At 41.6% G+C, this 26,390-nt stretch overlaps 1 long non-coding RNA gene across 1 annotated transcript in view; it reads left to right on the top strand.

Moving 5' to 3' along the window:
* LOC401478 (uncharacterized) overlaps positions 1-26,390 on the top strand; it is a 273,872-nt gene that overhangs the window by 232,622 nt on the left and 14,860 nt on the right. The window contains exons 3-5 of the long non-coding RNA NR_161374.1: positions 13,039-13,204; positions 19,042-19,123; positions 20,755-20,905. This is a non-coding gene — a long non-coding RNA (uncharacterized LOC401478). The remainder of the gene's footprint in view (positions 1-13,038; positions 13,205-19,041; positions 19,124-20,754; positions 20,906-26,390) is intronic.

Raw genomic sequence — 26,390 nt, 5'->3', positions numbered from 1 at the left:
CCATTACCTAAAATGTACTGATTTTAAAAAGGAGCTAGCATAGTGAAAACAATCAGGACTTTAAAGTTAGTGAAACCTGAGTTCAAGCTCAGATCTATTCATAACTTACTTAGGCAAATACTAGCTTAAGCAAAAATTTAGTTTCCTTTCCAATTTCATCTGCAAAGTAGGGTTTTTAATACTCAAGTTGAGGGGTGATTATGAGAATCCATGAATGAATATTAATATAAACTACCTAGAGCAGTATTTGACATATTTGACACTTATTATTTCCCTACTTCCTCTTTTTCTAGGAACCAATAAAAAGAGAGTTGTAGCTTATTAGTATTGTCTCTTTTATATGGCTGATGTCAGCACAAACTTCACTCCTCAGTTCATAAGACCAATGACTTACCATAATGATAATAATAATGTTAATGATAAGGGTAATGAAAATAATAAGATTTAATCTAAGGAGGCATGCTTATGGAATTATAAATATTTCTATTACTATAACTCAACATTCCTTTGAAAGTCTATAGGGAGTACTACTAATATTTATAGCTAAGAGCTATTAGAATTGTTTATGTGCCTAGTATTGTGCTGAACTTAGCATGTATTTCATTTCTCCCTTACAACAAAACTCCATGAATTTGATTCTAATATTTTCCCCATTTTACAGTTGATGAAATAAAGGCACAGAGAAAGAAGACAGGTTGTTCATAATCTCAGAAATACTAAGTTTAGAGTCATGATTTGATGTGAGAGCATCTGACTCCAGACCCTGTATTTTCAAGCCATCATGGTGTGCTCCAATGAGGAGGATGGCTTAGGCCTCGTCTCAATGTCCTGTATATACTGTGTCTTACGTGCAGCAAATCTTCAATTAAATGTTCTAAGCTGCCTATTTGCCACCTATTATCTTAAGAAAGAAATTCCTTCCTGAATTTGGGTTTTTGGCCCACACTCTCCAGATATTGAAGCATTAATTGAGAGAATGTATCTTATCAGTAGAGAATTCTGATTTGGTATCCTCTCTTCTGACTAAAACCAGGTATTTAAACTTTTCATATCACAATAGCTCATATATACACTAAATACAATTCTAGTCACCAATGCCTAATCATTGGTGACACCTTACATTCTTACATTCCTTTTTTTTTCCAAATGAAAGACATCTGTGGAGTAAAAATAGAAGAAACAATTAAACACTTAGCTCTGTTATAGGAAGTAGATGATATGTGGTTAGAGCTAATTTCCTTTGTTGTAATATAAATGTTGTTTAATTTGTTCAACACATATTTCATAAGCAATTAGGAGATGCAGACATTAGAGTCCAACTCAACAGCCAGTTTTGAGCGCCTTCTATTTGCCAAGGTGAGCTGAAGCTTGTAGCTAAAATTTCAGTGCTTTGTAAATGGGATAGAATACATTTCCCAAAGACCAAAATACTTTCCACTATGATTTTTGAAGTGACTCATCCCACTCAAAACATCAGAAATGGCTGCTTGGGGAATTGTCTCTATTACAAAATTAGTTTCTCTTGTTGCAAATGATGGTCCCATTTTACAGTTCATAATGAATCGTTACTGTTAATTGTACGTAGAGTTTTCCAACCTATGTCTTTTTTTCCTACCATCACTCATGTTTATCATTTTCCCAAATGGGTATGTCCTCTTTTGAGAATGTTACCCTTTTCTAATATCTTCTATTTGACATCACGATAATAAAAATACGTGTCATTTTATGAGTAGCCAGTATATGTTCAGGCAGCATTTTAGATTCTTTGCACACATTTATCTTGTTTAATCTCTGAGGCAACCCTGTAGGCAATTGTATCACTGTTTTAATAAATTGAAATGTACGCACACACAGAAAGTAAGAATTTGAGGCCCTGAAACGTTAGGTGACTTCCCCATGGCCATTTGTCCTGAAGAGTCACAGCTGAAGATCTGCGAGAGATGTTGCCTCACCCCGATGGCCCTCTCTCTCCCTCTCTCCTTTTTTTTTTTGACAGAGTCCTGCTCTTTCGCACAGGCTGGAGTGCTGTGGTGCGATCTTGGCTCACCGCAACCTCGACCTCCTGGATTCAAGCGATTCTCCTGCCTCAGCCCCTCAAGTAGCTGGGATTACAGATGCCCACCACCATGCCCGGCTAATTTTTGTATTTTTAGTAGAGACAGGGTTTCACCATGTTGGCTAGGCTGGTCTCGAACTCCTGACCTCAAGTGACCCCCGCGCCTCAGCCTCCCAAAGTGCTGGGACTACAGGCGTGAGCCAGAGCCACCACGCCCGGCCCCAATATCCTTCTCTTTTTTTTTTTTTTTTTTTTTTTTTTTTTTTTTGAGACGGAGTCTCGCTCTGTCGCCCAGGCTGGAGTGCAGTGGCCTGATCTCGGCTCACTGCAAGCTCTGCCTCCCGGGTTCACGCCATTCTCCTGCCTCAGCCTCCCGAGTAGCTGGGACTACAGGCGCCCGCCACTACGCCCGGCTAATTTTTTGTATTTTTAGTAGAGACGGGGTTTCACCGTTTTAGCCAGGATGGTCTCGATCTCCTGACCTCGTGATCCGCCCGTCTCGGCCTCCCAAAGTGCTGGGATTACAGGCGTGAGCCATCGCGCCCGGCCTATCCTTCTCTTTAAGAGCAAGCCAGTCTGTGCTGCTTATGGTAGAAATGACCTTAGGAAGCATATGCTCAATATACAGCAAATACAAGTACAGTGATTTTTAGAGATTTAAATTAAATATATTACCATAAATCAAACATCTGTTTGTTTTCTAAAGATCAAGCAGTGGAGAGTTCATGAGTTTTAGTGTCAAAGGGACCTAATTGCAAATGCTTGTTCTATTTTTTTTTTTGGTATGTAATTTTAGGCAAAATTCGTAGCTTTTTGGACTCAGTTTTTCATCTGTAAAACAAGGTAAGTGGTGCCTATCTTGGGAGATTTAAAGGAAAGTGTATTAAGTCAGCTCCTGTAAAGCTCTCAGCAGAGTGTGAGGGACAAAGTAATTCTCAGTTCCCTGAACCTGACTAATAAGGACCAATGGAAGTCCTTTTTGTTTCTCCACAAGTTCTTCAATGTGAAAAAATTGCTGGTTCTTTCTCTTTTCTCTGACTTACCATGGGCCAGGTGGTTTGTACTATACTTTTATAACACATCTTAAATTATTTTGTATTTAATTCTTCATGCGGAGAGGAATCAGGAAGCCCAGGCCAGAAGAATCATCTGGATGGCCCACACCATCTTAAGCTAAATAAAATCACTGCTTTGTAAAACACTGCTGTAGGGGGATAGTCTGTTACACAGCATAACTATTGCATCCTTGAGCGCTGGGTGTGGAGTTCAGAAAAGCTTTCAAAAGGAACCTATATCTTGAAGGATTTTTAAGCAGGACATTCCGTGATCACATTTTCTCTTTTAGTAAGATTTGCCTGTTTGAATAACAGACTACAAGGAGAGGAGTAGGTTGTCAAGGAGACAAGTTACTGCAGGGGTCCGGGCCAAAGACTCCCAGTACTCGAAGCAGTTCAGTGTAGTAGGGAGAAGGAAGGGATGTATTTGAGAAATGTTTGGAATGCAGAATTCTCTCTGGAAAATTCCCTTGATTTTTCCTACTTCAAGTTCGAATGGTTCCCTCCCTCCTCTACTGCTTCCAGGGACTTAAGGCATTGACTTCAGCTTTCTGAGCACTGCCAGGAAGTCTGTGCATGACACTCTCCCCACCACACTGGGGAGCTAGAGGACAGAGAATGTGCCTTCTGCAGGCTGTGCCCGCCCTCAGCTGTGTTCCTAGTAGTTTCATAATTTCTTACAAAATAAGTCAAAATGAGTTTAAAGTGAGTGATGCTGTCTTCAACTATTTTTTTTTGTCTTTTTTCTGTTGTGGAAGAAAAAGGATCTTCTAGCAGAAGCCCAGAGTTTGGATGCTTCCCCCCCATGGTCTTTGATTTTGGTGCTTAAACATCTCACTATTCGATTCTTTGAAATAAGTGCCCACATCTGTGTCTCCTATTTTTTTTTTTTCTTCTCATCTTCAAAATGTAGTTCCAGCGTCTGTGCTGTTTGAAGTCATGCAATTCTGTATCTGAAGGCAGGCGACGATTCTAACATATTTATTCAGGGAGACACAAGTACTTCTCTCAGTCCTCAGACTCGCTGCAGAAAATTAGACACGAACTCGATACACAGAAGTAACTGCAAGGCAAAGTGTTCTGTGGCTACACCTCTGGACAGAGCCCGGCCTCCAGCTTACATGGAGACTTGTATATATATATATATATAGACAGATCAAATCATTGCAAAGACAGCCTCTGGCCCTCAAAAACTGTCATTTTCAATCAAGAGCAGGAGCTATCCGTGAAATTAAGAAATGCTGAAGAGGGTGAAGTCTGGAAGGAAGGGAGCTATTCCAGAATTCAAAGTGCTGGGATGAGCCCTCTTGAAGTTAATAATATATTAGAATAATTGCCTAAAAAATGTGCCAGTCATCGCTCTTTCATGCCTTATGAGATGTGTCTGTGTGTTGCATATGTGTGGGAGGAGGAAAAGGAAAAGAAATAGTAGAAGGAGGAAAGGGGGAGGAGGAAGAGGGAAGGAGGGGACAGAAGGGGAAGAAAAGGAGGGAAGAAGAGGAGAGGGGAGGAAAATATAGAACGGGATGGTGGGAGGGATTTTTCCCTCCTAGGTAAAGGAGAGGATTTGCCTTACATTCTAAAGCCGTCCACCTCATAACATTTCCCAGCAGGGTGACCTTTTGCCAATTTGACCTCTTTGGTTCTCAATTAATTAATTACTTATTTATTTTTGAGACGGAGTCACTCTGTCGCTCAGGCTGGAGTGCAATGGCACAATCTCGGCTCACTGCAACCTCCGCCTCCTGAGTTCAAGCAATTCTCCTACCTCAGCCTCCCAAGCAGCTGGGATTATAGGCCCTTGCCACTACACCTGGCTAATTTTTGTATTTTCAGTGGAGACGGGGTTTCACCATGTTAGTCAGGCTGGTCTGGAACTCCTGACCTCAGGTGATCCACCCACCTTGGCCTCCCAAAGTGCTGGGATTATAGGCATGAGCCACCATGCCTGGCTCTCAGTTAAATTTTTTGTCAAGTGAGGTGATATGTGCAAGTTCTCTTTGCCCTGCTGAGTGATAGCAAGTGTCAAGTAATTGAGTGAATGAGACAGTGTCTTAGCAACTCACTATATATTGTACAGGCAGAAAAGGCGATGGTTATTTGTTGTCAGTTACTCCTCTTATCAGATGGACAATCCTGACTTCCCAAACAGGTGAACATCAGCCTCAACCTTAGTCCAAGTTTTTTCAACCTGCATCCAAGTCCTTCAATTCAATGAATGAGACCAGACTCACGAAGCAGAACATCTGAGTCTTATTTGTGCTCCCATCACTTCCCGAGTGGTTTTGGGACAATGTCACAGTTCTCTGATCTATACTATGGGTCATATGTTAATACCTGTCTCACAGGGTTACTCTAAAATTCAGATGAGATGGATGTGCAAATGGAGATGCTCTATGTAGATATTTACTGTTGCTATTGCCAGGAATAAGAAAGCAACTAAATTTCAGATGTGTTTTCTACCCTCTTGCATGACCTCTTTCCCTTATCCAAATACAAGGAAGCCCTTTCTATCGTTGGTGAAATATCTATTGGGATTCTTCCTTCCACTTGACTGTATTTTTACAATAAATGTGAAGTGTGGAAGAGGTAGTTAATGTCATAGATAAACGTAGGAAGTTATGGGGTATGTGTGAGTCTGCATGTTGGCATGGAATGTGACGCACACAGTTCTTCCACGAATCCTCAAGCTTCTCATTGTCCTTTGCTACATGTCATATTGAGAAGTCTGTGAAATACAATCTGATTTGTCATTTAGATTCTATTCTAGATGCTTGGTATCTTGGAGACAGACCTTTGTCTGTCATACTTACTCTGAAAACAGTCATGCTTCTAGTGGTTCAATTTGCTAATGCAAGGGTTGATTTTATGTGAAGCCATGCTGAGTAAGTGCCCCTGCCCCAAGTAGAATGACTTGCACTCTTTTTATGCAAGGTACAGTCCGAGTTCTTGATACGTTTTTGTTGGATGGATGGATGAATGAAAGTAAAACCTAAAGGAATTGAGCACCTACGTTAAGATTCTTTGACTTTGTGAAAATCACTTTAAAAAATACCTTTCTTTGAGCTTTTTAATATTTTTTACCCCTTTTTTTAAGGGGATTGCCTGTGACTTTCCTATTATCTCAGAAAGACAAACCCTCTGTTAATATGCCCTGGCAACACAGACAGCACCCTTTAGATTATATATTTAGATTATAGAGGACTATCCTGCACCATCTATATAAAGTTCTGCCAAAAAAGCCAACAACAATCAGCAGTTATTCAACCTTTATTTTATTAAATTATGATATATTGTATTGAATATATTGCATGAAATGTTATTTTGTTCATTATCAATGTAAGTGAACATTTTTGTCCTTTAGTTACTCTGTACACAGCATAAATTGTATTTTGTGGTATAAAGAAAGAATTCTCCAAGTTACATATGATAGAATCTCTGTATTGGGAGAATTCGTTTGGAAAAAGTAAGTTCGGGTTGTTGTGTTCCACTGCGTGATTCTGGTTGTACCAAGACCACAGGGCTCTGAGAGCTTCCTACCCAGGCCGTATCTCAGTGTTGTTTGCGCAGCTAGTAGTCTCGCTCCTCCTAGACAAATAGCCCAGTTTACCGTTTGCTAAAAAACTGGTATATTCCCCAAACCCAGTGCTGTTCAGCTGTGACGCAAACCCACCGATGTGAGGCATTTATCTGGGCCATATTATGCTTCCCTCTCCCTTGGGATTGGGAACAGTGGAAACCAAGGCTAATATGCTGATGACAATGTTGCTTGCTTTACGATGAGTAATAAGGTCCTTTGAGTTCCACCAGACGTCTTATGTCTTAGGTCAACCTTCAGGAAATGGTAACAGGTGAGCTCTTTGTAAGTAGGGTAAAATAAAATTTCAAAAATGAAGTATTCTGTTGGTATGAAATGATACAGGGTAACTTTCTGCCACTTATTTCTAAAGGGTGTGATCTACTTTCCCACAGGCTTTGGCATGGAGTGGGGCAAAATTAGGATCTAAATTGGAGGGCATGGTTCTGCTAACAGGTCCTGCTTCACCATTGTAAAAAGCTGATGAGAGAACTGTAGGCTGATTGAAGAAAAGTGCCTAGGAATTTTTTGTCCCAAATAGACCATGATCTTTAAATATTTTTACTTTGAATACTACTAACACATCCTATAATTGAATATCTTACTATATTCAATGAATACTAGTATATTGTAAACCAAAGACAGCAACTATAAAACCTATGTAAAGTTTGTAACTTCCTCATGCTTTTTAGTTTTTGTTGACTGCTTTCTCATTGAAAAAGCAGTAAAGTCTTGAAAACACAGGAGACCTGTGTATTTTGGAAGGAGGCCTAGGGAAGTTTCAGGGAAGTGCCCAGCTGGAGGCAGAGGTCGAGGAGGGCGCTAGAGGGCGCTAGAGGGCCGTGCTCTACTTCAGGTTCTGGCTTGCCGTGATGGCCCTGACCTGGGGGAGGGCTCCAGATTAGCCACCCGTGCCTCAGCAGGACAGACCCACTGGCCACAGCATTGTCTCTGGTGATGGCTTCAGCTTTTTCTTCTCATATCCTCTCCACAGATAATCTTCGTTATCACACTTTCTTATCTATGTAAAGCTTAAGGAATCCAGTGATAGAAACTTTGATTTTGACTTAATCCTGTCACATGACAGCTGTTGCCTCTGGAACTGACATCTCATCCCTCTACGACAACTTTCTTATCTGTAAATGAGAAAAACATTTCTTGCTCAAAGGGTGCTTCGGAAGCCTAGAGGTTATGCAGGAAAAATCCTATCAAGGATATGCTCCAAGCAGATGATGCGTTGGCGTTGGTGGTGGTGTTTTTATGAGATGATTTTGTTGCAGAGGTTATGCTTGTCCTGCCCTTATTCCCCAGACCTTATCACTTCAGTGTACTCTTATTGACTGACTTCCAACTACCAGCACCTTAATTGCTTTGACAGGGATTTCTACAGAGCTGCAGGCCCAGTAGAATGGCAGGCCCCACAGCCGCCCTCAAGCAAGGGATGGTTTGAGTTTTTATATAAAGACATATTTCTTGAAAAATGCTAAGAGAGGGATGTTAAGTGTTCTCACCACAAAAATGATGGCTGTGCAAGTTAATGCACATGTGAATTAGTAAGATTTAACCAGTCCACAATGTAATATAGACTTCAAAACATCATGTTGTACATGATACTTAAAATTTTACCTGTAAAATTAAAAAATGGATACATTTGGAAGAACAAAAGAAGAAAAATGAATTTAGAGTTGCTTGGCCCTCAGATGAAATAGTTTCTCCACGGGACTAAGCACCAGTTGTCCAGAGCGACTTGCTAACTCATCCTTCACTGTCTCCTCCTGTTCACCCTGCCCTGTCCTGGCTCTCTACAGCTTCCAAATAACAACTTGCATTTGCATCCTTGATTTGAAGTGTACTCCCGGGAGAATCCAAACCCTCACTCTTCTTTAGAATGCACATCTGTTATAAACCCTTGTTAAATTCAAGAGAAGAAACAGCTTTTAAACATTGAAAGTAAGATGTGAAAGAGAATTTATGGACTGGGTTTCAATTATATTAATCCACTCTCCGTGTGTCTTAAGTTGTTTCCTTAATGTAAGGAAGGGAACTTTATCAAGAAATCTTAATGCATTGCTTCTGCTGTTCCTGCCCCTTCCCTTTCTTTAAGGTTTTGGCATCAGAAAGTATGGTGTTTTAAATACAATACAGAGTTTACTTATAAAGAGGCTGAGGATTCTAGTGATTTAAGAAAATATTAGAGTACTAGGAGCCAAAGCAAAAACTATTGATGGGGCTCAATAAGGGAAGCTATCAATATCAGCATTAGAAACCTGGACTAATTTAGAAAATAGTGATCTTTTGTGGCTGCATGTGGTGGGTCATGTTTGTAATCCCAACACTTTAGGAGACCAAGGTGGGAGGATCCCTTGAGCCCAGGAGTTCAAGACCACCCTGGACAAGATGGTAGGACTCTGTCTTTACAAAGAATTTTGTTTAAAAATGTAGTTGTGTGGTGGTGCCACATACCTATAGCTCTAGCTATTTGGGAGGCTGAGGCAGAAGGCTCCCTTGAGCCAAGGAGTTTGAGACTGCAGTGAGCTATGATGATGCCACTGTACTCCAGCCTGGGCAACAGAGCAAGGCTCTGTCTCTTAAAAGAGAGAGAGAGAGAGAAGAAAATAATGATCATTTAATGTGAAGAATCCTAAATGTTTTATTAATCTCTTATCTACTGTGACTACATTTTGGGAATCAATTTTTGGAATCAAGAATTAATTGGAGGGACTCATTTTCACAAACATTTTGTAATTCTTGATATGACCATATGCTCCTCAATTATTTTTAATTTCAATACCATCACATATCAATTGAAAACCATATGATGTGTTCGACGTTCATCTTCTCAAGTGGCATTCTCTCTCTCTGTCTCTCTTTCTCTCTTTTCTTTTAGAAACGTGGTCTCGCTATGTTGTCTAAATTGGTCTGGAACTGTAACTCCTGGGCTCTAGTGATCTTTCCACCTCAGCCTCCCAAGTAGATGGGATGACAGGTGGGAGCCACAGCTCATTTGCTTTTTTGATAGATGGTTCATTATTTAAAAAGCACCGTGACCAGATTCCTATGCCATGCTTCAAGCCTCCTAAAACACCTAGATACTATTTATCTCTGCTCTTCTAGATTTCTCCATCCACATATCTTTACTCATAATGGGCTGTAACTGACCTTCAGCAAAGGTGACCCTGGACTTCAGCAGATGTGTTCTAATGCAACCAAGATCAACAGAAACACCATCTACAGTATGAGAACCTCATAGCTCTCTATGTTCACTCATTCATATTTCACTCTTGTGTCAGAATTTCCCATTTTTTCCTTTTATTTACCCAGTGGTTAGATTCTTGAAAACTGGTGGGTATCTAGCAACACTTCATTTAAAATAGATAAACGGATGTCCTCATCAGAAACACAGATAAATCAGAAAATATATTCTGGTGGTTTATTTTTGTTTAAAGCCAGTGCTATCCTTTACTGGTTGCTATTGTAACTCATTCTCAAGCTGACGTCATTGCTATCCCCTGGCTTTAAAAAGTAATAAAGCCCAGTGATCTCAACTTTACTTCTCTATCCCCTACTTTGGTCTTTAATTTCACCGCAGAATAGATACTCAAAAAATAATTATTGAGTAAGTGGATAAATGGATGAATGTGAACAGTGAACAATTTAGGGAAAATAAATTTTAAAAATGTTTATTGAGAAACAACCAAAATTGCTAGCAATGTATGACAAAGACAGACACATCTGACCACTCCACTCCTGGTACAACTATTCTCCATTGCTGGTCTTTCAGGACAGTCTTGGGGAAATGCAGAGATATTCCAGAGTAGCACATTGATCTCCATGTCTTTGTCACATGTTTCTCTGATGGTGCTTTCAGTGAAGTGTGGTTAGTAATCCGTTGTCTGAGGTCTGTTTCTTTCCAGTGTGATAGAGAACCTCAATATTGACTCCAAAGGGCATAACCTTTCGTGGTCTTCTTCTGATAGTGTCCCTGTGTTGTTAGATGATGTTCTGCAGAAATCACAAAGAATAAACTCACACATATGTACCATCAGGCTGCAATGGGAAGTTAGGGGCAAGCAGAAGGGGGATCATGCACTTGGATTAATGTCATGCTGCATTTGTCAACACAATGCCTTCTCAACATTTCACAAGCAATGCAAAACACAGGAGTATGCAATCCACACGTTTATATTTTAAAAGAGTTGAAAGTGTAAATTCAATAGTTGTCATATAAGAGGCTGGCATATACATTACTACATGTCCTTGCAGTAAAACTTATCAAGTACTCTGTAACCATCATCCCCAAAGTGCAATATGAAGCTTTCGTTTATGAAAATTACATATTAAAGACATAAAACGACCAAAAACCAACCTAACTGTCCTTGTTTTCAATTAAGTTGGAATATTGTTAAGGAGACCCAAATTGTATTCCCAGGCTTGCTGATTAATTTCCTCAGGTTGGTTCTATCATTCATTTCCATAACTTTATTATTCAGGGGGATAATTGCTGCAAAAGAAATAATGATTCAGAAAGGTAATTCTATCTTGACACTTTTGCAGGACTTTTTGCAGATGCTTCATACCTTAACGAAGACTGGAGAAATAAGAGCTTTTGAAAGATAATTATAACTTCTTTCTTCCCTGTCCATGTTATTGATTCTTCATACACAATAGCAAATGTGTTTCAATGAAATAGCCAGATTTCAAGTACAACTAACTAGTTTTTCTTTTTTATTGTTCTGTTTTCTTTAAAATTTGCTCTCTTTTCCTTGGTATAATATTTTTCCTCCTTTCCTTTCTTCTTTCCACCCTGTCTTTCTGTCTACCTATTTTTCTTCTTCACAAATTCATTCATTTTTAGTTATTTTGTATTTTTAGCATATGGCTTTATTATCTTTTATTTGCCATTGTTATGTTCATTAGCTTTAAATTTATGATTCTTAACTACTTTTTTTTCTTTTCTTTTTTTTTTTTTTTTTTGAGACAGGGCCTCATTTTGTTCCCCAGGCTGGAGTGCAGTGGTGTGATCTCAGCTCACTGGAACCTCCGCCTCCTGATTTCAAGCGATTCTCTTGCCTCAGCCTCCTGAGTAGCTGGGACTACAGGTGCGCCTGGCTAATTTTTGTATTTTTTGGTAGAGACGGGATTTCACCATGTTGGCCAGGCTGGTCTCGAACTCCCAACCTCAAGTGACCTACCCACATTGGCTTCCCAAAGTGCTAGGATTACAGGTGTGAGCCACCATGCCCGGTCTGATTCTTAACTTTTAGTTCTTTATCCTCTTCTCTCTCATCATCGTCTTCCACAGTAAACTCCTATGTCCCTGATCTTGTTCAAGATATGATGCACCTGTAATTTGGGGATTAAATAATATTATCAATAGCTCACCCTCGCCAGTCTGAAAGTGTAACTGGAAGAAAGGCTTTTGGGGAACTGCATTCACTCATCAAAACCCAATGTTTTCTCCATTTCTGCCCAACAGCCTCATTTCAAGGTGGAGCACTCGTGTTGTCACAGTAAAGAAGGGGTGCCTCCTTCTCCCGTCCAGAGAGAGTCTGTGCATCCATACTTCCTTTTCTTTCTTCACTTGATTTCTTTGCTTTATTTTTTTTTACCTTATTTTCTAGTTTTTACTTAATCATGATTTTATTTACTGTCTGTATTATTTTCACGTTCTATTTTGCTTTTGGTATTTCTATTACTTTCTTAGTTTTATTTTTTCTTTTACTTTTGTGTCTTATGACTTTTGATCACTTGCATTTCTGTTTTCTCATTGTTTATATTCCTTTCTTACTTTTCTTTCTTCCTTAACTACATTTTTATCATTTTTATTTTCTAATTTGTTTTCCTTAATAATTATTTTTTCTTTTGATTTTAATGATTTCCTTTCCCTCCCTCTCTCCTTAATTTTCACTTTCTCTGTTCTTTCCCTTTTTTTTTTTTGCCTGCATTCATCCACATCCCCCTCTAATTTTTTTTTTCTTTTTCTTAACATTATTTCTGTTTCTTTACATTTTCTGTTCTTGACTTTCTTTCTCCCTTATTTTTTCTTTACTTTCTCTTTTGGGTTATTTTCTGTCAGCACTTTCTTTCCTTTTGCTTTTCATAGATTAGCCTATGATTTTTAATTTTATCTAAGATTTATGTACTTCCATTTTTCTCTAGTTTGTTGATTCTTTTCTTAATTTTTCTACATTTATACATTATTTAACTTTATTTTTCTAATTAAAATACTTCGTTTTTTTACATTCTTACATTTTTTTCACATTGCATAATTGTGTTATTTTCCTTCTATTATCTTGTATTTAATTTTTAATTCTTATTTTTATATTTTATCTCACTTGCATTTTTTATAGATGTACTGCAGTGCCATGCTGGGTATCTTAAAGAACAAGGCATTGTCCTCTGCAGACACCCAGGCTGCAGACTTCAAGGACTGGAAGAAGAGCTTTGCGTCTTCTCTCTTCTCTATACAGACACAATCTGTAGCAGCAAATGTGTTACAGATGGACAGAAGCTGGGGTAAGTTGGTGCTCATCCTTTCTTCTTATCAAGATGAGAGCCACAGCAGCCCCTCAGTCCCCAGGCCTGGTTTTCTTCCATTCACCGTGCTGTTTTCCAAGTTGAGGCTTTTAGGGCAGTAGGGAATTCTGCCTTGTTTTAAATAAACCTCTCCAAACTGCTGCTGCTGCTGCTTTAAAAGAGAAAAAAAAATCTTTTATCAGAAGACAGAGCATTTTATTTCACACTAAACTTGAGGTGTATAATGCATTTATCTCTGTGAGAGGCAGGTACCTCACTGACATAAACGCACACCAAGGGGTGAATAAGTGATTATCATATTAATTTCTCAGAGCTGGATGTTATGGGAGAAAAGCAGAAAGCTTAAAAGCTTGAGATTCGTAACACGGAGAGAGCCCTGGGAAGAGAAAAGGACAGAACACAGAACCTGGAGAGAAATGGCTTCTCTGGAGATTATAAGATACAGGCTGGATTCATTTCTGGAAATGGACACTTTCACGTACAAAGGGCTTAAGAGCTTACATGGCACATTGGCACACATTGTACTTAATTTATTGAAATTGCTTACAACCTATTCTACCTTTATCAAATGCTTTTCAAGGACATAGTATGAAGAATACAGTACTGTTAAAAATAAAGACAAGTCCCTGTATTCATAGTAATATTCTAGTTGAGGGATGACAGAACGTAGACAAATAATTGCATTCTATGTAGTCACAGGGTAAAAATATATTGACAAAGAGGTAGAGCAGAAGAGGCAGATAGAGTGTCCTGCAGAAAAGAGGAGCTGTGTGTACTCCTTTGAGAGGGCAGCTACAGAAGCTTTCTGATAAGGTGACATTTGAGCAGACAGAGAGAATGATCCATGCATGAGTGTCTGTGTTGGGGGAAGGGAGAGGGATTGCAGGGCTAGGGAGTAAGGTTGGGGGTCCTAGGATTGCAGGGCTAGGGAGTAAGGTTGGGGGTCCTAGGATTGCAGGACTAGGGAGTAAGTTTGGGGAGTCCTATGACAGAAACAAGGAACAGCAAGAAAGGGGGTTAGTGTTGCTGGAGTGGAGTGAGAACAGGAGACAGTTGTAGGGAAAGACATGGGGAGGGTGGCCTAGAGCTGACCATATGTAGGCCTTGAGCCCATAATGATGACTTCAATGTTTACTCTGAGATGAGAACATCATTAGTAATCTTGAGCATAGACATGCTATGACATGACCTTAAATAAAGAAGGAATGTTCCAGATGCTGTTCAAAATAGAACAATGCAGAGCAAAAGAGGAAGCAGGTAGCCCCGTGAGGAAGCTTTTAAATTTCTCAGGTGATAGACAGTGGTTGAAACTAGGGTGACAGCCATGAAGACAAGATTCTGAGGACAATTTGAAGATGGAGTGGGTAGACTTTACTAGTGGATTGGATAATACATGAAATGTGGGAGAAGTAAAGAAATACTGAGTTATTTCAAGATTTTTTGGTTTACCATCTAGGAGGATGGAGTTACCACTAATTGGGATAGTGAGTGGAGTTAGGGAGGAGAAAACAAGCAGTAGTGAATCCAGATCCTGTGGGACATAAAGGCAGAATTTGGCAGCTCTCTTAAAAAACAACAACAACAATAACAAAAACTCTCAATTAGCTACTGGAAGTTATAAGGAATCAGTGCAAGTGATGGTCTTGAAGCTTCAGCTTCATTAGCTCCATGCTAGATCTTCTGAAACTACCATTTCAGATTTGGGTATTTTGAGCTTGAGTTACTGTGAAATATCAAAATAGAGCTGTTCCCTGATAGCTCTTTATTGGAATCAGGGTTAATAGATTTCAATGAGAAAGTTCTCATCTTCTAGAGGGCATTAAAATTCTGGAAATAGACTGAGCAAAAAGCCAGAGCTATGAGCTTTGGGCATTCCAGGGTTTAGATAGCAGGAAAATGAGGAAAAGGCCGCTATTGAGGTAGGAAGAGGACCAGTACTCTCCATTTTTGGCAAATGCAGAGATCAACTCCTGCAGTCTGAGTAGGATATAGCATCTCTCACAATCACTAATGGCCAGTGAGGGAATGCTTATAAATGGTAGCTGCCATTTTTTCCCATGACTTGTTCCTATCATGCCCACCTTGTTGAAATAGTTTGTTTCCACGACTTCTTCGTCAGCCCTTTACTTTCCTTTTACTCGTTGGTGCTGTTTCCTCTGAAATTCTATTTTGATGTGCCCAGAGCTCAGTTCTGAATATCTTTTCTCTATTACATTCTCTCTCATCCAGTCTTATATCTTAAAGTAGAATCGTATCTACTCAAGACTCCAGATTTCTCTCTTCAGTGCTGACCAGTCTCCTCAAGTCCAGACTCATTTAGAAAATCTCCTGTATGACAGGTGAACATCACGTATGAACTTACATTAAACTTTAAAGGCCAAAAATAGAATTACTGATTTTTGTTGATAAAACTCTTTTCCATTTCTTCCTCAGTAAACTGCTTACCACACACCCAGTTATCCAAACACAAAACAACAGGTTTTCTTGATTATTTTGTTTCACTCCAAAATACAAATCTGCCAGCAAGTCTTATGTGTCTATTTATTTGCACTGCCACTGTTAACCCACTGGCTTAGGTCAACATCATCTCTTGCCTGGATAACTGTAACATTACTGAATGTCCTGCTTCCCTCTGAGCTACCTATATCCCACATTTCACCAGAAACCAGGGGGATGATTCAGACCATGGTTTAGGTTGTATCACAGCAGTGATGAAAAGCTATCAAGAGCTTGAATTTTACTTATAATAACTCCAAATTCCTGGTCATGGCCAAGAAGTCCATTGCCCAATCAATGATCCATCTCACTGTCCTTGGTCCTTCCAAACATGGAAGCTGTTTGGAAGTGGAGCTTCCTGTGCTCCACCACTCTGGCTTAATTTCTATTCTTTGAAAAAGTTGACTCATGATGTTTCAGCCCAAGGGCCCTTGTTTGTTCACCTCCTGGCCTGGAGGGACGCTTCTCCCAGATTGCTATATGGGCTACGCCAGGTTTTCACATAGCTTTCACGGAACATCCTGTCTGAAGTGGCATTTTCTGCCTCAGCTCACCAGTCTGTCATGCTATTCTCTTTTACAGCATTAATACAACTCATCCTTTTCTTTATTTTTCTCCATGAGTTATTTGTTTTTTCTTTCCTTGTTTCTTATCTGTCTCATGCCTCCCTCGTTCTGCAATAGAATCCCCAAGAGAGGTTTCTCATCTGCTTTTCTCTGTGCTTTTTCCCCAGGAAGGAACCTCTACCTGGTACAAAATAAGCATTAAAATATTTATTTAATAAATGCTCAGCTATCAAATTGAAGACCTTGGAATGAATTCCAACTGTGTCATTTGGCTATTTAATATTCATTAATGACATGGATACTTTAAGAGGTGCTGGAAATACCTTGAAAAAATACTCAGTTACTTACCTCAAGTACTTTAGGGTTAAATTTGGAGACACACACATATAAATGGGCTGGTTTAATCCAGTGTATTAATTACAGCCAAAGGAGAGGGAACAATGATATGTATGGGAACACAGAAAAGATGATTCAACTTTAGGAAGCCCAGGAATATTTCAGGGAGAAAGTTCCATCGAAGCTGAGACTGTAGAATGAGGATGAGTTTCAGGAGATGGTGCTGTGTTGATTGGGGGGCACATCTCATTCCATGTGCACAGTCCTAGATATGAGGAGGAGGTTTGCTCATGTGGAGAGCTGCAACCTTCTCATTGTGTCTGAAGCATTTGTGACAAAAGGATCCTCATCAGAGGTCAGTTACAGTGAGGTGAGTCTAAGACCACCAGGCTAAACGAAAGATCAATGTGATGAGGTAGAGGAAGAATAGTGCATGCTACAGAGTATAGTGCATGGTACAGGTCCCCAGGGCATGCGTGAAGGAAACATTAGTAGGAGGGAATGAGAAGCCATGTAAGGAGAGCAGACAAAGGTGAGACAGTCGTGGAGCAGAGTTTATCGAGGACAAAGCTTTTGAAGCCCATCAAAATATTCTTTCCACCCATAGGCATGTCTCCATGGGGCCAGGGATGGATATGTGACTTCAGTCACCTCCCTAGGGATTTTTAGAAATGGGGAGGGTAAGACAGCCTCTACTGTAAGGGGCTCAACAAAACCAAACTGAAATTAATAGTGTTACAAGAAGCAGGACAAGTAATGTCTGGAGATTCGGTCCCAGTCCTGCCTTTTTGATGGGAACTTCAAAATTCCAATCATATTTCTGGTAGCCTTGTTACCTTGTTGTTGTCTGACTTGAATAGTAAGTTTGGAGACAGCTAGGTCCTCACAATTTGAAGTAGAATTTATCTGATTTATTTCAGACTCACATCCAGGTAGAAACATCAGAAATAATATGTTGCTTCTTTTAGTTATTTTATGTTTTATTTGTTTGTTGTTTGTTTTTAAGTAAGAGAGGGTGAAAGAAACATGAACCAGAAGTGAAAGCGTAAAACTGGAAATATTTCCCCGTGACCCCTAAGGGTGAGGACTTCTCATCTTTGGTCTGGCTCTGACTTGTGATCCTGAACATATTCCCCAGGCATCCTCATTGAATCCCCATCGCCTGAGCGTGAAATGGGCTCTGGAACACATGCTCTCCAATTCCTTCCTGACTCTGCTATTCTAGGTTTCAGCATAGGAATGCCCAGATGCTACTGAGAAATGTGAACATATGGATGTATTTCTGACCTGCTGGAGTATGCACTGCCTCCTTAGTTACCAGGCAGAATGAGCTCATTACCCAGGATTTCACAGATGTCTCAGGTCTTCATTAGGAAAACTATTTGGATCACAATTTCTTAAAAGCTTTTCAAAATATTTTGCTTTGTCTCTCATTTGATTCTTGTGCCTTTTAGTATTTGGTGGGGGCAGGGTAAAAATAGAGGGAAAAAAAGAAAATTACCCCCTGACACAAGCACTTGTTACAGAGGAATTCTGCCATAAGTAGTATTATGTGGAAAGTCTTTCAAAAGTATTAAGTTCAGATTTAAAAACATTTAGGATTGCCTGCTTGCTGACCAGCCCCAGGATAGGATGCTGGGGTTACAAAGGATAATAAAACATGGGTTCTATTCTCTAGCAGCTTATGACCTGCTATGAAAGTATCACCAACAGGTTAGAGTCTGTTAAGTGTTAAGAGAAAGGTAAACATGGTTCTATGGGAATTCCAAATGGCCCAGTTTCAAGTTTGAGGGTTATAAAGTTTGCCCCAGGAATCTCTCATGAATTCCATGTGAATTAGACAAGACCTTGTGTATGGAAGTGTTTTATAAATATGTGATGAGAGACATAGCTTTATCAATTGTTATGCTATCAATCAATTTTGCAAATTTTCTCAGCACAAATGAAACATTTGATCACATTGCTAAGGCCCTTCCAAGGCCCTGGAATGTGTACTTGCCAACAAGATGAGTTAGAGTTTAAGTTTTATTATCTTTCCAATAGTTTGCCGGGTCCAGTTCAAAATAAAAATGTGAGGCCCTTTGTTCTTAAAGCATTAAAATTATCAAGGAATACATCCAGACTGTGAGCATCAGAAAAAACACCTGAAGACATTGAGCCTATGTCCATGGGTAATGACAGATGAGCATGACAGGAGCTTCAGAGTGAATAGATCCTTATCCTCTTTAGCAGCTCTCAATTGCAAATTTTCTAGGGAAGATCCCAGGAAGGTACCTGCTGGCTTTAAAGCAAACTCTTCTACAGGGATGGGAAAGCATGTAGCATTTTGTAATCATTGAATGAATTACCTTAGCTTTCTCTATTACCTGGATTCGTGGATTTGTCTCCATCTCCAGCCCTTTCCCTTTCTGCTCACAGCTATTAGGGGCCTACAGTGCATCAGGCATGGATCCATGTTAGAAAATTGTCCCAAGGATAACCAGGACCTGCTGGAGCACAGGTATGTGGGGACCTCAGTAACAAGGGCCAGGGGCCTGCAGCAGTCCTCCAGTCAGTTAGCCACCAGTGCTCAGTGGAAAAATCTAGGAAGAACCCCAGGTCAACAAAATGGAGGTCAGGACATGTGGCAGTAAAAAGGTCATATTCCTTATATGTGAATCATTTGGAGTGTTGAGCACCAGAGAGTAATTCTTAGAAACTTCTGAAGCATCTCTTGAATACTGCTGATTGGATTAGAAATCTGCTCAGGTAAATGAATGTCAGTCAGTCCAGTTCTAGGAAGCTGGAGAGCGAAGCTAGGGGACGATGCTGGAGCTCCAAGGATTAGATCAGAGACCACGAACCATGTGATCTCTGGCTTGTGGATGAGCAATTGGCTCTTCCTCTCATGAGGCACTGTGGTAAAGTAGACCTTGATCTGAATCCTGGCTTAACAAATGGTGTGTTGTGAAATATTTGCTAAATAATCTCTATATTAAGCTTTATATATTTTATTGGTGAATTGAGGGCAAATGAATTGGCTTAGCCTGGGTTTCTCAGAAAGCAGAACCTCAAAGAAAGGCTCAATTATAGCATTATCTATCTTTTGAAATCAGGAGTCAGTACAGGAGCCAAGATGTAGGGGAGAAAAAGCCAATGCCAAGATACAAGTGGAGTCAAGTCACTGGTTCCTTGAGCATATCAGGACCTCCAATTCAAGAAAATAAATGGGGAAGCATTGATGCATTGATTAACCTATGATTCTGCTCAGGCTGTGGTATGATCTGAAGATTTATGTTTCCCCAAAGCCATTTATGGAGATCTTAACCCCTAAGGTGACGGTATGAAGAGGTGGGGCCTTTGGAATGCAGTTAAGTCATAAGGGTTCCACCTTCCTGAATGAGATCAGTGCCCTTGCAAAAGAGGCTTGAAGAAAACTGCTCTTCCTGCCATGTGAGGACACACAGAAGGCACCATCTATGAGGAATAGGCTGTCACTAGACACCAAATCTACTGATGCCTTGTTCTTGAATGTTCTGTCCTCCAGAACTGTGAGCAATACGTTTTCGTAGTGTATAAATTGCCTGGTCTGAGGTATTTTGTTGTACCAGCAAGAATGGAGTAAGGCAGGTTGTGATAACAAAATACCATAGACTGAGTGGCTTAAACAACAGGTGTTTATTTCTTATGGTTCTGGAGGCTAAGAAGTTCAAGATCAAAGTGCTGGCCAATTTGATTTCTGGTGAGGGTCCTTTTCCTGGCTTGCAGGTGGTAGTCTTTTTGTTTCTTTTTGTTGTGTCTGTCTGTCAGGCCTCTGAGCCCAAGCTAAGCCATCATATCCCCTGTGACCTGCACATACACATCCAGAGGGCCGGTTCCTGCCTTAACTGATGACATTATCTTGTGAAATTGCTTCTCCTGGCTCATCCTGGCTCAAAAGCTCCCCTTCTGAGCATCTTGTGACCCCCTAGTCCTGCCCACAGAGAACAAACCCCCTTTTTCCTTTACCTACCCAAATCCTATAAAATGGCCCCACCCCCATCTCCCTTCACTGACTCTGTTTTCGGACTCAGCCCACCTGCACCCAGGTGAAATAAACAGCTTTATTGCTCACACAAAGCCTGTTTGGTGGTCTCTTTACATGGACGCAAGTGAAATTTGGTGCCGTGACTCGGATCGGGGGACCCCCCTTGGGAGATCAATCCACTGTCCTCCTGCTCTTTGCTCCGTGAGAAAGATTCACCTACGACCTCAGGTCCTCAGAACGACCAGCCCAAGAAACATCTCACCAATTTCAAATCTGGTAAGTGGCCTCTTTTTACTCTCTTCTCCAACCTCCCTCACTATCCCTCAACCTCTTTCTCCTTTCAATCTTGGTGCCACACTTCAATCTCTCCCTTCTCTTAATTTCAATTGCTTTCATTTTCTGGTAGAGACAAAGGAGACACATTTTATCCGTGGACCCAAAACTCCGGCGCCAGTCACGGACTAGGGAAGGCAGCCTTCCCTTGGTGTTTAATCATTGCAGGGATGCCTCTCTGATTATTCACCCAGGTTTCAGAGGTGTCAGACCATGCAGGGATGCCTGCCTTGGTCCTTCACCCTTAGTGGCAAGTCCCGCTTTTCTGGGGGAGGGGCAAGAACCCCAACCCCTTCTCTCCATGTCTCTACCCCTTTTCTGCTTTTCTGGGGGAGGGGCAAGAACCCCTCAACCCTGTCTCCTTCACCCTTAGTGGCAAGTCCCGCTTTTCTGGGGGAGGGGCAAGAACCCCTCAACTCCTTCTCCTTCACCCTTAGCAGCAAGTCCTGTTTTTCTGGGGGAGGGGCAGGAGCCCCGACCTCTTATCTCTGTGCCCCGATCCCTTATTTCCGTGCCCCGACCTCTTATCTCTGTGACCCGACCCCTTATTTCTGTGCCCTGACCCCTTCTCTGCTTTTCTGGAGGGCAAGAACCCCTCACCCCTTCTCCATGTCTCTACTCTCTTTTCTCTGGGCTTGCCTCCTTCACTATAGGCAAGCTTCTACCTTCCATTCCTCCTTCTTCTCCCTTAGCCTGTGTTCTTAAGAACTTAAAACCTCTTCAACTCTCACCTGACCTAAAATCTAAGTGTCTTATTTTCTTCTGAGATGCTGCTTGACCCCAGTACAAACTCGACAGTAGTTCCAAATAGCTGGAAAACGGCACTTTAATTTTTCCATCCTACAAGATCTAAATAATTCTTGTTGTAAAATAGGCAAATGGTCTGAGATGCCTGACGTCCAGGCATTCTTTTACACATCAGTCCTTCCCTAGTCTCTGTTCCCAATGCAACTCATCCCAAATCTTCCTTCTTTCTCTCCCTCCTGTCCCCTCAGCCCAAACCCCAAGCATTGCTGAGTCTTTTTAATCTTCCTTTTCTACAGACCCATCTGACCTCTCACCTCCCCGCCAGGCCGAGCTAGGTCCCAATTCTTCCTCAACCTCTGCTCCTCCACCCTATAATCCTTTTATCACCTCCCCTCCTCACACCTGGTCAGGCTTACAGTTTTGTTCCATGGCTAGCCCTCCCCCACCTGCCTAGCAATTTACTCTTAAAATGGTGGCTGGAACTAAAGGCATAGTCAAGGTTAATGCTCCTTTTCCTTTATTCCCAAATCAGATAGTGTTTAGGCTCTTTTTCATCAAATATAAAAATCCAGCCCAGTTCATGGCTCGTTTGGCAGCAACCCTGAGACACTTTTCAGCCCTAGACCCCAAAAGGTCAAAAGGCCGTCTTATTCTCAATATACATTTTATTACCCAATCTGCTCCCAACATTAAATAAAACTCCAAAAATTAAATTGTGGCTCTCAAACCCCACAACAGGACTTAATTAACCTTGCCTTCAAGGTGTACAATAATAGAGTAGAGGCAGCCAAGTAGCAACATATTTCTGAGTTGCAATTCCTTGCCTCCACTGTGAGACAAACCCCAGCCACACCTCCAGCACACAAGAACTTCCAAACACGCCTAAACTGCAGTGGCCAGGCGTTCCTCCAGAACCACTTCCCCCAGGAGCTTGCTACAAGTGCCAGAAATCTGGCCACCAGGCCAAGGAATGCCCAGCAGTCCTCCTAAGCTGTGTCCCAACTGTGTGGGACCCCACTGGAAATTGGATTGTTCAACTCACCTGGCAGCCACTCCCAGAGCCCCTGGAACTCTGGCCCAAGGCTCTCTGACTCCTTCCCAGATCTTCTCGGCTTAGCGGCTGAAGACTGATGCTGCCCAATTGCCTCGGAAGCCCTGTAGACCATCACAGACACCGAGCTTTAGGTAGCTCTCACAGTGGAGGGTAAGTCCTTCCCCTTCTTAATAAATACAGAGTCTACCCACTCCATATTACCTTCTTTTCAAGGGCCTGTTTCCCTTGCCTCCATAACTGTTGTAGGTATTGACAGCCAGGCTTCTAAACCTCTTAAAACTCCCCAACTCTGGTGCCAACTTAGACAATACTCTTTTAAGCACTCCTTTTTAGTTATCCCCACCTGCCCAGTTCCCTTATTAGGCCGAGACACTTTAACTAAATTATCTGCTTCCCTGACTATTCCTGGATTACAGCTACATCTCATTGCCGCCCTTCTTCCCAATCCAAAGCCTCCTTTTCGTCCTCCTCTTGTATCCCCCCCACCTTAACCCACAAGTATAAGATACCGCTACTCCCTCCTTGGCGACCGATCATGCACCCCTTACCATCTGATTAAAACCTAATCACCCTTACCCCACTCAATGCCAATATCCCATCCCACAGCATGCTTTGAAAGGATTAAAGCCTGTTATCACTTGCCTGCTACAGCATGGCCTTTTAAAGCCTATAAACTCTCCTTACAATTCACCCATTTTACCTGTCTTAAAACCAGACAAGCCTTAAAAGTTAGTTCAGGATCTATGCCTTATCAACCGAATTGTTTTGCCTATCCACCCCATGATGCCAAACACATATACTCTCCTATCCTCAATACCTCCCTCCACAATCCATTATTCGGTTCTGGATCTCAAACATGCTTTCTTTACTATTCCTTTGCACCCTTCATCTCAGCCTCTCTTCGCTTTTACTTGGACTGACCCAGACACCCATCAGGCTCAGCAAATTACCTGGGCTGTACTGCTGCAAAGCTTCACGGACAGCCTCCATTACTTCAGTCAAGCCCAAATTTCTTCCTTATCTGTTACCTATCTATCTCAGCATAATTCTCATAAAATACACGTGCTCTTCCTGCTGATCGTGTCTGACTAATCTCTCAAACCCCAGCACCTTCTACAAAACAACAACTCCTTTCCTTCCTGGGCATGGTTGGACACTTTCACCTTTGGATACCTGGTTTTGCCATCCTAACAAAACCATTATATAAACTCACAAAAGGAAACCTAGCTGACCCCATAGATCCTAAATCCTTTCCCCACTCCTCTTTCCATTCCTTGAAGACAGCTTTAGAGACTGCCCCGACCCTGGCTCTCCCTGACTCATCCCAACCCTTTTCATTACACACAGCCGAAGTGCAGGGCTGTGAAGTCGGAATTCTTACACAAGGACCGGGATTGTGTCCTGCAGGCTTTTTGTCCAAACAACTTGACCTTACTGTTTTAGGCTGGCCATCATGTCTCCGTGCAGCAGCTGCTACTGCCCTAATACTTTTAGAGGCCCTTAAAATAAAAAACTATGCACAACTGACTCTCTACAGCTCTCATAATTTCCAAAATCTGTTTTCTTCCTCACACCTGACGCATATACTTTCTGCTCCCTGGCTCCTTCAGCTGTACTCACTCTTTGTTGAGTCTCCCACAATTACCATTGTTCCTGGCCCGGACGTCAATCCGGCCTCCCACATTATTCCTGATACCACACCTGACCCTCATGACTGCATCTCTCTGATCCACCTGACATTCACCCCATTTCCCCACATTTCCTTCTTCCCTGTTTCTCACCCTGATCACACTTGGTTTATTGATGACAGTTCCACCAGGCCTAATCGCCACACACCAGCAAAGGCAGGCTATGCTATAGCACAAGCCACTAGCCCGCCTCCCAGAACCTCTCATTTCCTTTCCATCGTGGAAATCTATCCTCAGGGAAATAACTTCTCAGTGTTCCGTCTGCTATTCTACTACTCCTCAGGGATTATTCAGGCCCCCTTCCTTCCCTACACATCAAGCTCAGGGATTTGCCCCCGCCCAGGACTGGCAAATTAGCTTTACTCAACATGCCCCGAGTCAGGAAACTAAAATACCTCTTGGTCTAGGTAGACACTTTCACTGGATAGGTAGAGGCCTTTCCCACAGGGTCTAAGAAGGCCACCACGGTCATTTCTTCCCTTCTGTCAGACATAATTCCTCAGTTTGGCCTTCCCACCTCTATACAGTCTGATAGCAGACCGGCCTTTATTAGTCAAATCAGCCAAGCAGTTTTTCAGGCTCTTATATTCAGTGAAACCTTTATATCCCTTACAGTCCTCAGTCTTCAGGAAAAGTAGAACAGACTAATGGTCTTTTAAAAACACACCTCACCAAGCTCAGCCACCAACTTAAAAAGGACTGGACAATACTTTTACCACTTTTCCTTCTCAGAATTCAGGCCTGTCCTGGGAATGCTACAAGGGACAGCCCATTTGAGCTCCTGTATAGACGCTCCTTTTTATTAGGCCCCAGTCTCATTCCAGACACCAGACCAACTTGGACTGTGCCCCAAAAAACTTGTCATCCCTACTATCTTCTGTCTAGTCATACTCCTATTCACCGTTCTCAACTACTCATACATGCCCTGCTCTTGTTTACACTGCCGGTTTACACTGTTTCTCCAAGCCATCACAGCTGGTATCTCCTGGTGCTATCCCCAAACTGCCACTCTGAACTCTTGAAGTAAATAAATAATCTTTGCTGGCAAGGCTATGCTGAACCTCCTTAGGCACTCTCTAATTAGATGTCCTAGGTCCTCCCAATTCTTAGTCCTTTAATACCTGTTTTTCTCCTTCTCTTATTCCATTTAGTTTTTCAATTCATACAAAACTGTATCCAGGCCATCACCAATCATTCTAAATGACAAATGTTTCTTCTAACAACCCCACAGTATCACCCCTTACCACAAAATCTTCCTTCAGCTTAATCTCTCCCACTCTAGGTTGCCACGCTGCCCCTAATCCCCCTCAAAGCAGCCCTGAGAAACATCGCCCATTATCTCTCCATACCATCCCCCCCAAAAATTTCGCTGTCCCAACACTTTACCACTATTTCGTTTTATTTTTCTTATTAATATAAGAATACAGGAATGTCAGGCCTCTGAGCCCAAGCTAAGCCATCATATCCCCTGTGACCTGCAGGTACACATCCAGATGGCCGGTTTCTGCCTTAATTGATGACATTCCACCACAAAAGAAGGGAAAATGGCCTGTTCCTGCCTTAACTGATGACATTATCTTGTGAAGTTCCTTCTCCTGGCTCATCCTGGCTCAAAAGCTCCCCTATGGAGCACCTTGTGACCCCTACTCCTGCCCACCAGAGAACAACCCCCCTTTTTCCTTTAACTACCCAAATCCTATAAAACGGCCCCACCCGATCTCCCTTTGCTGACTCTCTTTTCGGACTCAGCCCCCCTGCACCCAGGTGAAATAAACAGCTTTATTGCTCACACAAAGCCTGTTTGGTGGTCTCTTCACAGGGACGCGAGTGAAAGTATCCTCACATGGCAGAAAGAGAAATAAAGAGGGCTCATGAGTGCCCTGCCCTCACGGCTTCATCTAAACATAATTACCTCCAAGGACTCTGCCTTCAAATACCA

Source organism: Homo sapiens, chromosome 8, assembly GCF_000001405.40.
Source record: "Homo sapiens chromosome 8, GRCh38.p14 Primary Assembly".
NCBI lineage: Eukaryota > Metazoa > Chordata > Mammalia > Primates > Hominidae > Homo > Homo sapiens.
Note: the sequence above shows the minus strand (reverse complement) of the source record. Positions and strands in the feature narration are given on the sequence as shown.